The following is a 14,101-nucleotide window of genomic DNA, read 5'->3' as shown; positions in this document are numbered from 1 at the left end:
AATGGTGTGAACCGGGGAGGCAGAGCTTGCAGTGAGCCGAGATCGAGCCACTGCACTCCAGCCTGGGCAACAGAGCGAGAGTCCATCTCAAAAAAAAAAAAAAAAAAAAGAAAAGAAAAGAAAAGAAAAAGAAAGAAAGAAAGGAAGGAAGGAAGAAAGAAAGAAAGTGAAAAAAAAGAAAAAAAAAATTTCCTGAGATGTCCTAGGCCATACAAGCACTTTTGGGGTGGGGCCCCTGGAAAAACAACATGACTTTCCACCTCTGTTAAAAGCCAAAGCCTCTGTTTTCCGTGCAGGATCGTGATCAGTTTACATACATTGTCTCTATTGATTCTTTCAGCAACTCTTTGGGATACACGTCCTCATTGTGCAAATGGGAGAATTGTTTCCTGTAAAGCTAAGTAACTAGCGTGTGATCGCAGGGCTGAGAGGTGGAGGTGTCTGTGAACAGGGCTGCTGCTTTCCGTGATCCGTGCTCTTTCTGCAATGAAGTTTGGCCGATACACGGCAAGTCGGCCACCACTGACTGCTCCGGGGCTCCTGGCAGACATTATTAATCAATCACAGCTTCTTTTCCCTCCGAGTCTGGACTTAGCTTTACCATCCTCTGCAAAACAGCCCTCGGGCAGCCACTATTAACCATAACTGGCACATCAGATGAAAAATCCTCTGCCATCCCAGGATCACACACGAGTCTGTCTCCCTCTATCTGAACTGGCATGTCCTGAATCTGCCTTTAAGCCAACAGAAGAGTCCAAGTCAATGCAAAAGACCGCTGTAGAGGATGTAGCCATTTCTTGCCAGAGGCCTAAATGAGGTGTGGTTTTAAGAGCCCGGGGAACAGTGGGCCAGTTGAAGACGAACGGACAAGTCAGGAAACTCAAAGAAGGCAGGAGACCAGGGTCCCAGCCCCCTGTCTGCTTCATCACCAGAACCGGCCAATCAGTGCCAGTAATTGGAAGGGGCACATGACCTGGGCTGGGCCAACCATAATGAATCCTGGGGCTTTGGTTGGCGTTTCGGGAATGAGGTGGGTGACTGAGCTGCAGAATGTCCACTAGGGGCTGCTGCGCCATCCTGTCACCACGAGGGGAACGAGGGGAGCATCTGACTGAGAACGGAGTCAATAGCAGGGTGAGCAAAGCCAAGGGACGGAGCAAGACCGATTCTTGGTGGCATAGCCTGCGCTCCTGAATGCAGCCATGTCTACAGTCAGCTCCCGCTGCTCTTTTTTTTTTTCTTAAGTCAGTTTGAGGTTTTATTTTGTTGTTGTTAATTGCTAATGAAAAAGTCCTTGATACTGTCATCTATTTGTCTCCCATAACTGTTCTTTGCCTTAATTTTCATTAAAAATTATGCCCTTGGCCCAGTGCAGTGGCTCACACCTGTTATCCCAGCACTTTGGGATGCTGAGGAGGGATGATTGTTTTTGAGGCCAGGGGTTTGAGACCAGCTTGGGCAACATAGTGAGGCCTGTCTCTACAAAAAGTACACACACACACACACACACACACACACACACACACAATTAGCCAGGTGTGGTGGCACACATCTGTAGGCCCAGCTGCTTGGGATGCTGAAACTGGAGGATTGCTCAAGCTCAGGAGGTCAAGGTTGCAGTGCGCCATCATTATGTTGTTGCATTCCAGCCTGGGTGACAGAGCCAGACCCTGTCTCAAGAAAATAAAAAAATGCCCTTCATCATTGTGGACTGAGCATCTCCCCCTTATCTTTACCCAAATTATTACCCCCTTCTCTGCTCTTCCTGCTGCATGCCAGCCTAAAGGACCTCCTGGGCTACCTGCTCCAGCCACCCCCACCGCCACTTCAGGTTTATGACAGGAAGCCACCAGGTGAGCCTCTCAGTGTCTTTTAGAAAACCTCCTTCTATGTCAGGAACTTTGTATTTATTACCCCATGTTCCCTATGAAGAAATCATGGCATAAGCTCCTCTGAGAGAGCAGTGCCAGGAAAATGTAGGTGCCATTATTATCCCATTTTCACAGTGGGAAGCTGGGGCCCTGAGAGATTACGTTTTTTGTCTAAGGTCATGAAGTTGTTCTGTGGGGCCAGGATTTAAACCCAGAGTTTCACCATTGCAGTATCCTGTCCCATTCAGTGAGGGGCCACCATCGCTGTAGTCAAGCAACCACTCCAGCGGGCTGACGTGTGATGGCCTTTTTGTCGCTGACCACCCGCCCTTCCCGCCTTCCCATCTTCCATCTACCCCAAATCTTCTTTATAAGGAGTCATCTACAGCTGGAGAAGAGGGAGGGTGGTCATGTTCAGCCCCTGTGCTCTCAAATGCAGGCGTGAAAACAGTCACCTGGGATGACTTGAAGTGAACTTGCTCCACAGTTATCTTTTTCAGCACACTTGGCTTCAGAATCAGCAAAACCTGGTGCAATAAAACCTGGGTCAATCTGCACTTTACTATCCTGCTATCTCTGTTAACAACCATTTGACAGTCCTACCTGGGAGGTGTGGCTGAGAGGAATCGTGAACCTGGAGTTAAGACATATATCCCAGGCCTGGCCTATGGACAACTTCTGGCCGCTTTTTCTCTTTCCTCCGCTGATCATCACTTTCTACATCTGTAAAATTGGGAGGTGGAGAGGTGGGGTCTGATAAGAGTTTTATTTCCCAAAGAATTTTCCATAAATTGAAAAAGAAAGAAAACACAGAAGGCTTCCCCCTCCTGGGCCAGTAATTTTGGGAATACGGTGTAGAACAAAGTTAAACAAAAGTATATTTCCTACAGGACTTCTTGGAAACCTCAGTCTGCCCTTATGCGTTGTGGGTCCTAACAGGGAGGTAGACCACGTAGCACTTCCCACACTTCCGCAACACAGGAAACCTTCCCGGGTACAGTATCCTGTGGCTGTGTGGTGTGAAAAAGACTTTGGGAAAAGTTAGATGCGGTCATCTGTAGGATCCCTTTCAGCTCTGAGAAGTTAAAACTCAAAGTGCATTATTTTGACTTAGGGCTCTGTGAGATGCTGAACTATATGTCCTGAATGATGAACAACCACAAAAATCATGGTCAGTAAAGTTAGATGAAGTTCACTTGTAATTGTAGAATTGTAGTCGCTGTGTGGCATGGATGGTAATGACCCAACAAACAGGCCTTGGGCCTTGCTGGACAACAGGGAGCTATGCAGTAAGCCATCCTCGCAATTCCTTTTTTGGAAATCTGAGGATATACAGATGACCCTTTCCACACCCCCAAAGCCTAGGTTGAATATAAAGTCAGAAACTCATGGCTTAAGGAAGGTGCCTTAGAGACTCTGTGTTGCAAAATGAAAAAGGCTTTGAACTTTCGGAGAAGGACCAGACACAGAAAAACCAAGGTCTGTTGCTGTCCGTGTTGTCTGCAGGAAAGACAAAAAGCAAAATGAGCTAACAAGCATCTTTGTGAATCCTCCTGAGGAAGAAATCAGTTCCACAGCAGCCCTGATTACTAATTATAAAAATGTGCATAATGTCATTGACACTCTACTTGGGGAGTTTTCTTTATTGCTTTATTTTGGTGAGTACAGAAAGTACCCATAGAAGAGAAATTAATGGATTCACTCTTGACTGAAGTCCTCCAAGTCAATTTTCACTCAAAATTGAATTTTCCCATGAGAGTTCCCAGGAAGGAGAGGGGTATAGGGCAAAGAGTGTGGCTTTGGAGTCAGACATTTATTCAACAAATGTGTATCTCAGTGGCCACTACGTGCCAACCACTGAGAATACAGCAGCAAACAGGAGTCAGAAATCCCAGCTGGGTGCAGTGGCTTACGCCAATAATCTCAGCACTTTGGGAGGCTGAGGTGGGAGGATCACTTGAGTCCAGGAGTTCAAGGCCAGCCTGGGCAACATAGTGAGCTCCCATCTCTACAAAAAATTTTAAAAATTAACCAGGTGTGTTGGTTCATACCTGTAGTCCTAGCTACTTGGGAGGTTGAGGCTGAGGCGTGAAGCTTGCTTAAGCCCAGGAGTTTGAGGCTACACTGAGCTGTGGTCGTGCCACTGCACTTTAGCCTGGGCCACAGAGCTAGACCTTGTCTAAAATTTTTTTTTTTAAAAGTCTCTATCCTAATAGAGCTGCCACCCTGGCTCTGTTGCTCATCAGCTGTGTGAGCTTAGACAAGTCACTTGATCTCTCTGAGCCTTAGCTCGTTACAGCATGGTCACAGGATTGTTGGGAAAGCTAAATGTCAGATCTTATTTGTAGCATGTCTGGCCCAGGGCCTGGCACATAACCAGCCTTCTAGAAATGGTAGTGGGAATTCCGACTCTTGTAGCCAGAGGAGGAAAAGGGAGTTTAGATGGTTTCAGAGGGCTTCTCTCCGAAGGCTGAGCCTTTAAGGGAGGTATAGGATGAGCAGGGGCATCTGAGAACAACAGTATACCTCCATGAATAAAGCCTCGCTTTTGCTCTCTGCACCTCACCTGACCCTCCACTCTCTCCCGGGTTCACCAGCATAGACAGGTGCTGGGCTGCTGACCCCTAGGCCCCAGGCCCATCCAGTTGTCTGTGTTTTCACACAGAGCCAGCTTCCGAGTCACAAGGTCAACCCCACCTGCCCTGGCCTCCTGGGTCCCCTCCAAGGTTGCAGACATGCCTCCATCCCAGCCTGGGGCAGGCATCCCTGCCAGGCACACAGAGGCCATCAGGAGGCAGGTGGGACAGATCAGTTCCCACTATACCCAAGAGCAGCTCAGTCATATCCCTGGGAGGCTGAAGATAGGGGCTCTGTGCTTGGCCTGCCACTCTCTTGCCTCCTGCCGTGAGCTGCTTACCTATGCCCTCTGAGTCCAGTTCTCCCTCTGTAGACAAAAGGGGTTTGATCAGACCACCCTTTGGTCAGTCCCCCAGCTTCATCATTCTGCAAGGTCCAACTGCTCCTCACACAAAACGCCTGGCAGAAATTTGGAACCAGTCAAACCTCAGTTTGCTCAGTGTTATCTCCACTGGATGAGCTCAGTTTTTCTGTCTGCAAAAGAGTGGGGTTTATAATCCCCACTTTTAAATCAAGACTATTGACACACTGGAAGGAACATGGGTCTTGAGTCGGATAGGCTTGAGTGTGAATACTGGCTCTGCCATTTGCAAGGCAACTCACTTACTCTCTCTAGTGAAACTGAAGCCTCAGTTTCTTCATCTGCAAAATAGGCCTGTAGTATCTCCCTTGAAGAATTGTCGAGGTAAATGAAGCAAGCTATGCATCACACCTGCACATAGCAGAGGATTAAGGCTGGGGAGCTGTGATTATTGTGGTTGTAATTTACTCTAAAATGAGGGCCTGGCTAAGCTGATACCATCGCAATTTCTACTGCTGTGCTCACCCTCTCTGGGTTTTTGGTGCTGGGGTTCCTCCAGTCTCTCCTCAGTAACAGAGCTTCCTGTGGCTGAAAGCTACATCCAGAGGGATTCCGGGGGCTCCCAGGATTCCTTTCAGGCTACAGAGTCCATGGTCCATGCAACCCTTCCTGTTGAAAGTTATATTCTCAAATACATATGATGTGTCCTCAAACATATAATAGCCTCCCTCCCTGTTCTCCTGGCTCGTGTGCTGTAGCAGACATAAATCCCTTCTGTGTGTCATTCCAGTCTCACATTTTCTCACCCCACAGAGCCCTTTGTCCCTGCGCACTGCTGCACAGCTTGGATTGTCTATTCAGAAGAGGATGTGGCACCAAAAGGGACTAGAATCTCTGAATCTTAAGGTTGGAGGAAAATGAGTGGTACTTAGTTGAACCCCTCTTCTGATTGAACTTTCTCTACCCCACCTTTTGACGAGGGTTCATTCACTCTATTCTTACTTTCAAGGAAGGGGAACTCACTAAAGAGAAAGGTGGGGCATGTCATCACCCACACAGTTGCCAGTTAGCTGACTGGCTTTCTTGGAAAAATGACATTCAACAGCAACAGAAAAGCTTCTATCATGGGCAAGCCATCTGGGAATAATAGCTCCAAAGAACAATACTGTTTTCTTGTCCACCCCCTCCTCAACTCTGCACTTTGTGGTCACAAAAAAATGAAGATATGACATTTTTTTCTCTAGAATAACACAACTTTGTTAATGTGTCTCTTTTATTCACCCACCCATTAAACATTCCCGTAAGGAATCTACTTCATATGCCCACAGAGAATGCATTTCAATTCCCAACATAATGAGCCAGCTTCCAGAAGGAGGAGAAGCATTTAGAGGAACAGATAAATCATACCCTCTGCCAAATACCCTTTTCCACCTTCCAACGGGGAGCTCAGAGCCATCCTAGGATGTGACTCAGTGGGGAACATTGTTTTCATTGTGCAGCTTCAGAAACTGAGGCACAGAGAGGTGAAGGTCACCCAAAAAATGTGAGGCGCGAGCATGCACTAAATCCCAGGAATCTAAGACCTCCCAGCATAGTAATCCAGCCCCTAGGATAAATGTTTGTCTTGCTAGCCAGGGAAATTTACTGTGGCCTTTACAGAAGGCTTCTTCAGGCTCAAGATTATAAACAGGGAAACAGGACCTGGCAATTAGTTGAGTGATTCACTGGCAGAGAAAGCTTTCAAGTAGGGAAAGGATCAGTGAGGTGAAAAAAAAAAAAAAAAAAGAAACATCTTTTAAGAAGTTGTAGCTCCCCACCCCCACTCCTTTACATTGTTTTAATTCTTCATGCTCAGTGTCTTCATTAAACATTTTTGAAGTGGGTTTTTATTTGGTTACTTTGATTTGCTTCTTCTGTCAAGGTTATTTGATCTCATCTCCAACTTAGATTACTTCTAAGGTTGAACTGAACACAATATTTGCCCAGTGAAACAGACAGCCTTCTTGCTTATGGGAAGTATAAGCTTATGGTCCATGCAACCCTTCTTGTTGAAAGTTATATTCTCAAATACACATGATGTGTCCTCAAACATACAATACCCTCCTTCCCCCTTCTCCAGGCTCGTGTGTTGTAGCAGACATAAATCCTTCCTGTGCGTCATTCCAATCTCACATTTTCTCACCCCACAGAGCCCGTTGTCTCCTCCAAGAGGCCATGAAATAATAAAAAACAGATAAATGAAATAAATAGTAAATGATAAAAAAATTAATAATTTAAAATACAGATAAATAATAAATGACTGAGAGGCCATGGAATCATAAAAAACACAACTGGAAATGGCTGAGATACAGCGTGTTCTGTTTTGCTGCGGTGTTGAGGCCATGGACACAGGTGGGCGTGACAGCTCCGAGGGAGCCACCTGAGGAGTGGCCAACTCAGCAGCTTCTCTCCTTTACGCCCCTTGTTACCAGCAGTGGAGACAGCATGGGCTTCCCAGCTCTGCCATGTCCTTGCTGCATAACTTCAGCAAGTTGGGCAAGCTTTCGGAGTCTCGGTTTTCTCAGCCAGTCCTGCTCACCAGCAGGCTCCGTGGTGGTGGGGCTGTGCCTCTGGTGCTCAGCACTGTCTTCTTAAGCGCCTAGCAGGTAACAGGCATTCGGCACGTTTCTGCTACATGAAGGAACAGAATAAGAGTACTCCTACCGCTGTTGCTGGATCATGGTGAGGATTAAATGAGAAACTGTAAATAAAAGCCTAGAGTGTTTTAGATGTGCATGACACAGTAGCTCTTCCATTGCCAGATGCCTTCCTTCAGTGTCAGCACGGGGAAAGAATCCAGATGTTGCACCAAATCCAGATGAAGCCCCTTGTTCTGCAGATGAGCAAACGGAGCCTCAGATCTGTAGATCTGTTCATTTGTGCATTCATTCATTTCACATAGAGGGGACTATCAAGACAGAAAGAGTCTCCATGCTTATGAAGCTTACCTTCTAGTGGGAGGAGACAGTAAATGAGTAGACAAATATATAAACAAGAATAGTGTCACATACTAACAAAGTGCTATGGTGAGCAAGAACACAGGGGAGTGTAATGGAGGAGGGCTGGGAATGGGGGGGTACACTGGTTGGGGGACTAGGTGTGGCCTCCCTGTAGAGGAGGCATAGGATGTAAAAGTGGACCTGAATGACCAGAGGGAGAGAGTCATACCAAACTCAGGAGCAAGAGTGTTCTAGAACACTGCCTTTTGGGTGTTTGCTCTCATTGGTCTCTTTTGCAGGAAGAGGGGACATGACTTTTATTTTGACATAATTTCAGACGTAGAGAAAAATTCCAAGCATAGTACAAGGAAATCTCGTCTTCTCAATCCACTAATTGTTTACGTTTTGCCTCATTCTCTGTCCTCTCTCTCTAAGTATACAATATACACATCACACACACACACACTTTTTGCAGAACTATTTGAGAGTGCACAGTGCGAACATACTGCCCTTTCACCCTATACTTCAGTGTGTACTTCCTAAGAATAAGAACATTCGCTTATATAACCACAGTCCATATCTAATCTACAATGCATAGTTAAATGGTATCAGTTGCTCCAACAATAACCTTTTTAAATTGCACATATTTTTCCAGGCCAAGGGTCACATATTACACTGAGTCCTCATGTTTCGTTAGTTTTCTTTAGTCTGGAACAGTTCCTTAGCCATGCTTTGTCTTTCTTGACCCTGACATTTTTTTAAAGAGTGCAGGCCAGTTATTCTGTGGGACGTCCTGTCATTTGGGTTTGCTGATATTTCCTGAGGATTACTTTCAGGTGACACCGTTGTGGCAGGAACACCACAGAAGTGATGTTGTGTCCCCCTCAGTGCATCACAGCAGGAGGCACGTGGCGCTGTTTGTCCCTACGTTGGGGACATTAACGTTGGTTGATTGGTTTAGGTGGTCTCCTCCGGGTTTCTCCACTAAAAAATTGCCTTTCCCCCCTTTTTAATGAATGAGTAATTTGTGGGGAGGCACTTTTAGAATGTAAGTGCTCTGATCCTCACTAGTTTTAGCATACTTCATCTTCTACAACTTATTAGTTGCCACTGTACTGTAAGGAAGAGATTTTCCTTCGCCCCATTTACTTTATTTATTTTTATTTTTATTTTTTTGACACAGTATCTTGCTCTGTCATCCAAGTTGGAGGGCAGTGGTGCAATCACAGTACCCTGCAGCCTTGACCTCCTGGACTCAAGGGATCCTCCCACCTCAGCCTCCTGAGTAGCTGGGACTACAAGCACACGACCAAGCCCAGCTAATTTTTTGATTTTTTTGTAGAGACACTATCACACTATGTTGCCCAGGCTGGTCTCAAACTCCTGGGCTCAAGTGATCCTCCAGCTTCAGTCTCCCAAAGTACTGGGATTTCAGGCGTGAGCCGCCATGCCTGGCCCTACCCATTTATTTATATAATCATATATTTATTTATATAACTATGAACTCATGGCTTTTTATTTTATTCACTAGGTTATAATCTACTGCTATCAGACCATCTCAGATTTGATCAATGAGAGCCCTTCAGACTGAGTTCTGTGTCTTTTTACACAGCCCCACCATTCTTCAGGTATTTCCTTGCCTTCCGGCACAATAAGATGTTTTGGGCTCATCTGGTATGTTCCCTGCCCCAGCCCTGGAATCAGCCCTTTCTCCAATAAGCCTGGTTCTTTTGGTGTTAAAAGATATTTAGAATCCAAGATCTGGGGGCTGGGTGGGCTCCTGCCACCAGGTGTGTTACCACTTCCAGGACCTCTCTGGGGACAGAGCTAGAAAGCTTCTTGAACTCTGATGTGCATATGCATGACTAGGAATATTGGTGAAGTGCAGATCCTCATTCATTGGGTCAGATCTGCCCACAGGGGTGCATTGGAGACTCTGCCTGTCTCACAAGCTTCCAGGGCGTGCAGATGATACCGGTCCACAAGGCTCATCTTGAGCACCAAGGATGTAGGACAGTGGTTCTCAAAAGTTGGTGTGCATGGGAGTCACCTGGAGGGCTTGGTAAGATACATATTCCTGGGCTCTACTTCCAAAGTTTCCAATTCAATAACCTTGGGCTAGGACCTGAGAATCTGCATTTCTAACAAGTTCCCAGGTGATGCTGTTCTTGCTGATCTGAGACCGCACCTTGGGAACCACAAGATCTAGGACACTGGTTCCTAAAAGTGACTACACATTGGAATTCTTGAGGAGGTTTTATTTCCGTTTTTGTTTTAAAAATGGATCTTTAAGGCCCCAGAGATAATTAAACTGGTGTAAGATGTGGCCTGGGCATTGAGAGTTTGATGACCTCCATGAGTGGTTCTGTTGCCCAACATGATTTGAAAAGATTGTTCTAGGAAGAGGTAGGAGCAAATGCAAAGGCCTTTAAGAAGAAATGAGCTCGATATTTTCAAGGAATGGCAAGGAGGCCAGTGTGGCTGGACAGGAGTTGAGGCCAGAGAAACCAGGGCGGATTGAATCAGGAGGCGGTGAGATGGGTCAGGATTGCGGTTGTTACTCTGGTGAGACAGGCAGCCACCAGAGGGCTTTACATAGGGTGATGCGATCTGAAGGCCTTCACCAGGGCCTTCATCCAGCAGTTTCAAGGCCAGCTCTCCTCCTGTCAGTCAAGCGCTTTCTACCCAAAGCAGTTTGGCTTGTGATGAGTAAAGGATGAAATAGCTTCACAGCCTTCTCTAAGTGCTCCCCATACTTTAAATCTTGCCCATGGATTTTGTTCAGAGTTACTGTCCAAGGCTTTGAAACCCCTGAAGGGTAAGTTTAGGCACAATAATAAAGTATTACATCATGGGAGAAGGACTTGTGGATGAGGGACATTCAGGAGTGCTTTGCTTTAAGAAAACTTCACATATGTTGCACAACTGTGAATATACTTAACAGTACTGAACTGCACATTTATGAAATGGTTAAGATGGTAAATTCTGTTATGCATTTTTTACTATAATCAAAAATAAAAATTAAAAAATATATAGTCACAATACTTTTACAAATATCTACTATACTTCACTAACACGAAAGTGACAGAAAAAAAATACGCTGATAGTATAAAGAAGCTAAAATGTAAGTTGATCAATTGATGCACATCATTTACATGTTGAACAATTCTCAAAGATGTCAAGGGGCAGGAATGATCCTTCAAGGAAAAGTAACTTAGACCAAGAGAATTTTAAAGCTTCAGGAAAGGCTGATATTCATCATGTATATGAAGACAAGCCTGCCAAGCACTGAATTCTCCAATTTGTTCATTTTTCCTTGTTCCTCAGGAAAGTCAGCGTGGGTATTTCATTACCATATGGAAAACTATGTTGTGCCATTAAGAATAATAAAGAATTTGGCAGGGCGCGGTGGCTCACGCCTGTAATCCCAGCACTTTGGGAGGCTGAGGTGGGCGGATCACCTGAGGTCAGGAGTTCGAGACCAGCCTGGCCAACATGGAGAAACCCCATCTCTACTAAAAATACAAAAATTGCCAGGCGCGGTGGCTCACGCCTGTAATCCCAGCACTTTGGGAGGCTGAGGTGGGCGGATCACCTGAGGTCAGGAGTTCGAGACCAGCCTGGCCAACATGGAGAAACCCCATCTCTACTAAAAATACAAAAATTGCCAGGCGCGGTGGCTCACGCCTGTAATCCCAGCACTTTGGGAGGCTGAGGCGGGCGGATCACGAGGTCAGGAGTTTGAGACCAGCCTGGCCAGCATGGTGAAACCCCATCTCTACTAAAAATACAAAAAAAAAAAAAATTAGCTGGGCCTGGTGGCACTCACCTGTAGTCCCAGCTACTTGGGAGGCTGAGGCAGGAGAATTGTTTGAACCTGGCAGGCGGAGGTTGCAGTGAGCCAAGATTAGGCCACTGCACTCCAGCCTGGGCGAGAGAGTGAGACTCTGTCTCAAAAAAACAAACAAAAAAAAACCCCAAAAAAACCCCCAAAAAACAAAAATTAGCCGGGTGTGATGGCAGGTGCCTGTAATCTCAGCTACTTGGGAGGCTGAGACAGGAGAACGGCTTGAACCCAGGAGGCGGAGGTTGCAGCAGTGAGCCGAGATTGCGCCATTGCACTCCAGCCTGGGGATATGAGGGAGACTTCATCTCAAAATAATAATAATAATAATAATAATAATAATAATAATAATAAAGAATTTAAGCCAAGCCTTAAAAAAAGAAAGAATGTATAAAACTATGAGCTTGGGAAATGGAAAAAGTTGGGGACAACTATTCACTTTAACAAAATAATTCTTTCTGTGAGGCTTTGCGCCTGGTTTCATCTATGAAATAGTGTTCTTCTAGAGCACAAAAAGCACTCGACACAGTGTTGCAGAAACATGACAAGCCTAGAAGAGGCCGGCTAGAGGCCTTCTGCAATGCCAGGTCCAATGGTGTGATAATAGCTTGGAGATTTTGCTTATCTGCTTTATCTCCCAAAGGGCATTGCACAATATCAGTGTGCTTGGATTGGACAGGATTCCAGTGACACGGTTCATGTTCTATTTTGATTCTGGCAGTTGGTAACCTTTCTTCTAGGAAAGAGGAAATAAAACACCCCATTGGTGATATTCCGTTGTTCTGAGCATACGAGGGTGGTAAGGCTGCCGGGGGCAACTGACCAGAGGCAGGTGTGGTCCCTGGGTCATTTTTAGCCACACTCCCAGGCCCTGATATCTGGCAGGGAGGTCTGTAACCAGCTCTGTCAACCTGCCATGAGGATGACCTGCCCTTTCCCTTGGTTATTCAAGTCCCAGGTTTTTCCTGAGCGGAAGCTGACAGTGATGTCATTTTCTCGTGATATTGGCGGGGTGACCTTGTTCATGGAGCTGGTTTCATCCATTTCTCTTCTACCTTGAAGCTGAACTGAGAAAAACATTGCTGAGAACCACAGAGAGGGAGGGCAGAGGACGCTGCAAAGGGGAGGCTCCCCTGTTCCCTCATCTGATTCCCAAACCCTTATCATGACCAGCTGTTAGCCATCCCAGTTTCTAGCAGAACTCAGCCTGGAAAAGTCATACAGGAAAAACAATGCAAGGAGAGATCGATGAAAAAATTTTTAAAAAATGTTGTAGTAGACTCAGCAAGGCAGAAACTATGGATTCATGAAGAACAGCTTGGATCCTTGTTATAAAGACAGATAAATATTTACAGGTGGTCTTTTCAGAAAGGCATTCAGGAGGAGACAAGAAGCATCTTATTTAGAGCTGCTGGCCCAATTAAGGGAATCAAAGATGTCCTGAGCTCCGACTCCATGGCAGGACCTGAGCTCCATCCTTGATGGACATCTTTTCATCCTCAGCCCTTCTTCCTGAGGTGGGCACTGTCACTATCCCCATTTACAGAGGAGGAAACTAAGGGTCAGAGAGTTGGAGTCTGTTATTCAGCTGGGAAGCAGCAGTGCTAGGGTTCACATGCATGGCTTTTTCACTCCAAATCTGTAGGCTTTTCCTAGCACACACCAATGTCGGCTTTCAGATACTGCTACCAAGAACTCCAAACCTAGGCTCTTTTAATCAATAGCAGAGTGATTGAGTCCTTTTCCTGAAACTCACATTGTTCAAGCTCAAAGGACACTGTATAGATGAGGACTCCAAGGCTAAGAGCAGGAAAAGGGATCTGCTCAACAGGATGGCAGAATCTGGCCTCAGGCCGCAAAGAAAGCTCTGTCCACCCATTATTCAGCCACGTGCACAGAGCCAGCGCAGCAAAACCCATCTCACCTAGAGTGCGGCTTTGTTGGTGATCTCGGTTCAGCAGGATATGGGCACCACGGGAATGGTATTTTCCCTTACAACTTTCTCCCTGGGGCCTACATATTATGTAGCTATTGTAGGGTTGGAGTTCCACAAACTGGATTTCAGAGCTCGCTGGCCAGTATTAGCTCATGTTGATTGCAAAGCAAGGACTGAAGTGGAAAAGCAAAAGAGCACAGCACCACCTGGTGTTGGCAACTAAGACATGCAGGTTCAGGAGTAAAAACAACTCCCTGCATTTCCCTTCGTGTGAGGAATGGAAGCCCAGAATGGGCGAGGAGCTCGCCAAAAGTCACAGAGCACACGGTGATCGAGCTGAGTCTGACGGGTGTGATTTCCAACTCTGTGCTCCTCCCACGAGGCCTGGCCAAGGGAAGGAAAGCACAGTCTTCCCCTTCCTGAATACCAGCTTGAGCAGGGTCCCCATAGCACCCGCGAACTCAGAAGACCCTTTCCTTCGAAAAGGGAAAGGACGGTGAAATGCTGGCCTGTGATCGGAAGGAGGAGACCGTG

General features: G+C 46.2%; 4 annotated features.

Annotated features, from left to right (window-relative positions):
• Positions 867–946: a silencer, noted in NCBI's record as "silent region_14092". NCBI's record gives its function as "represses an Ori minimal core promoter by ATAC-STARR-seq in GM12878 lymphoblastoid cells {active_cell/tissue: GM12878}" and the evidence as "EXISTENCE:reporter gene assay evidence [ECO:0000049][PMID:35858748]".
• Positions 977–1,026: a silencer, noted in NCBI's record as "silent region_14091". NCBI's record gives its function as "represses an Ori minimal core promoter by ATAC-STARR-seq in GM12878 lymphoblastoid cells {active_cell/tissue: GM12878}" and the evidence as "EXISTENCE:reporter gene assay evidence [ECO:0000049][PMID:35858748]".
• Positions 6,815–7,315: an enhancer, noted in NCBI's record as "H3K4me1 hESC enhancer chr3:14251595-14252095 (GRCh37/hg19 assembly coordinates)". NCBI's record gives its function as "activates a minimal SCP1, AML or CMV promoter by ChIP-STARR-seq in primed H9 embryonic stem cells {active_cell/tissue: H9 hESC(primed)}" and the evidence as "EXISTENCE:reporter gene assay evidence [ECO:0000049][PMID:30033119]".
• Positions 7,316–7,816: an enhancer, noted in NCBI's record as "H3K4me1 hESC enhancer chr3:14251094-14251594 (GRCh37/hg19 assembly coordinates)". NCBI's record gives its function as "activates a minimal SCP1, AML or CMV promoter by ChIP-STARR-seq in primed H9 embryonic stem cells {active_cell/tissue: H9 hESC(primed)}" and the evidence as "EXISTENCE:reporter gene assay evidence [ECO:0000049][PMID:30033119]".

This window comes from Homo sapiens, chromosome 3 (genome assembly GCF_000001405.40).
Source record: "Homo sapiens chromosome 3, GRCh38.p14 Primary Assembly".
Taxonomy (NCBI): domain Eukaryota; kingdom Metazoa; phylum Chordata; class Mammalia; order Primates; family Hominidae; genus Homo; species Homo sapiens.
The sequence above is the reverse complement of the archived record's forward strand: the minus strand, read 5'-3'. Positions and strand labels throughout refer to the sequence as shown.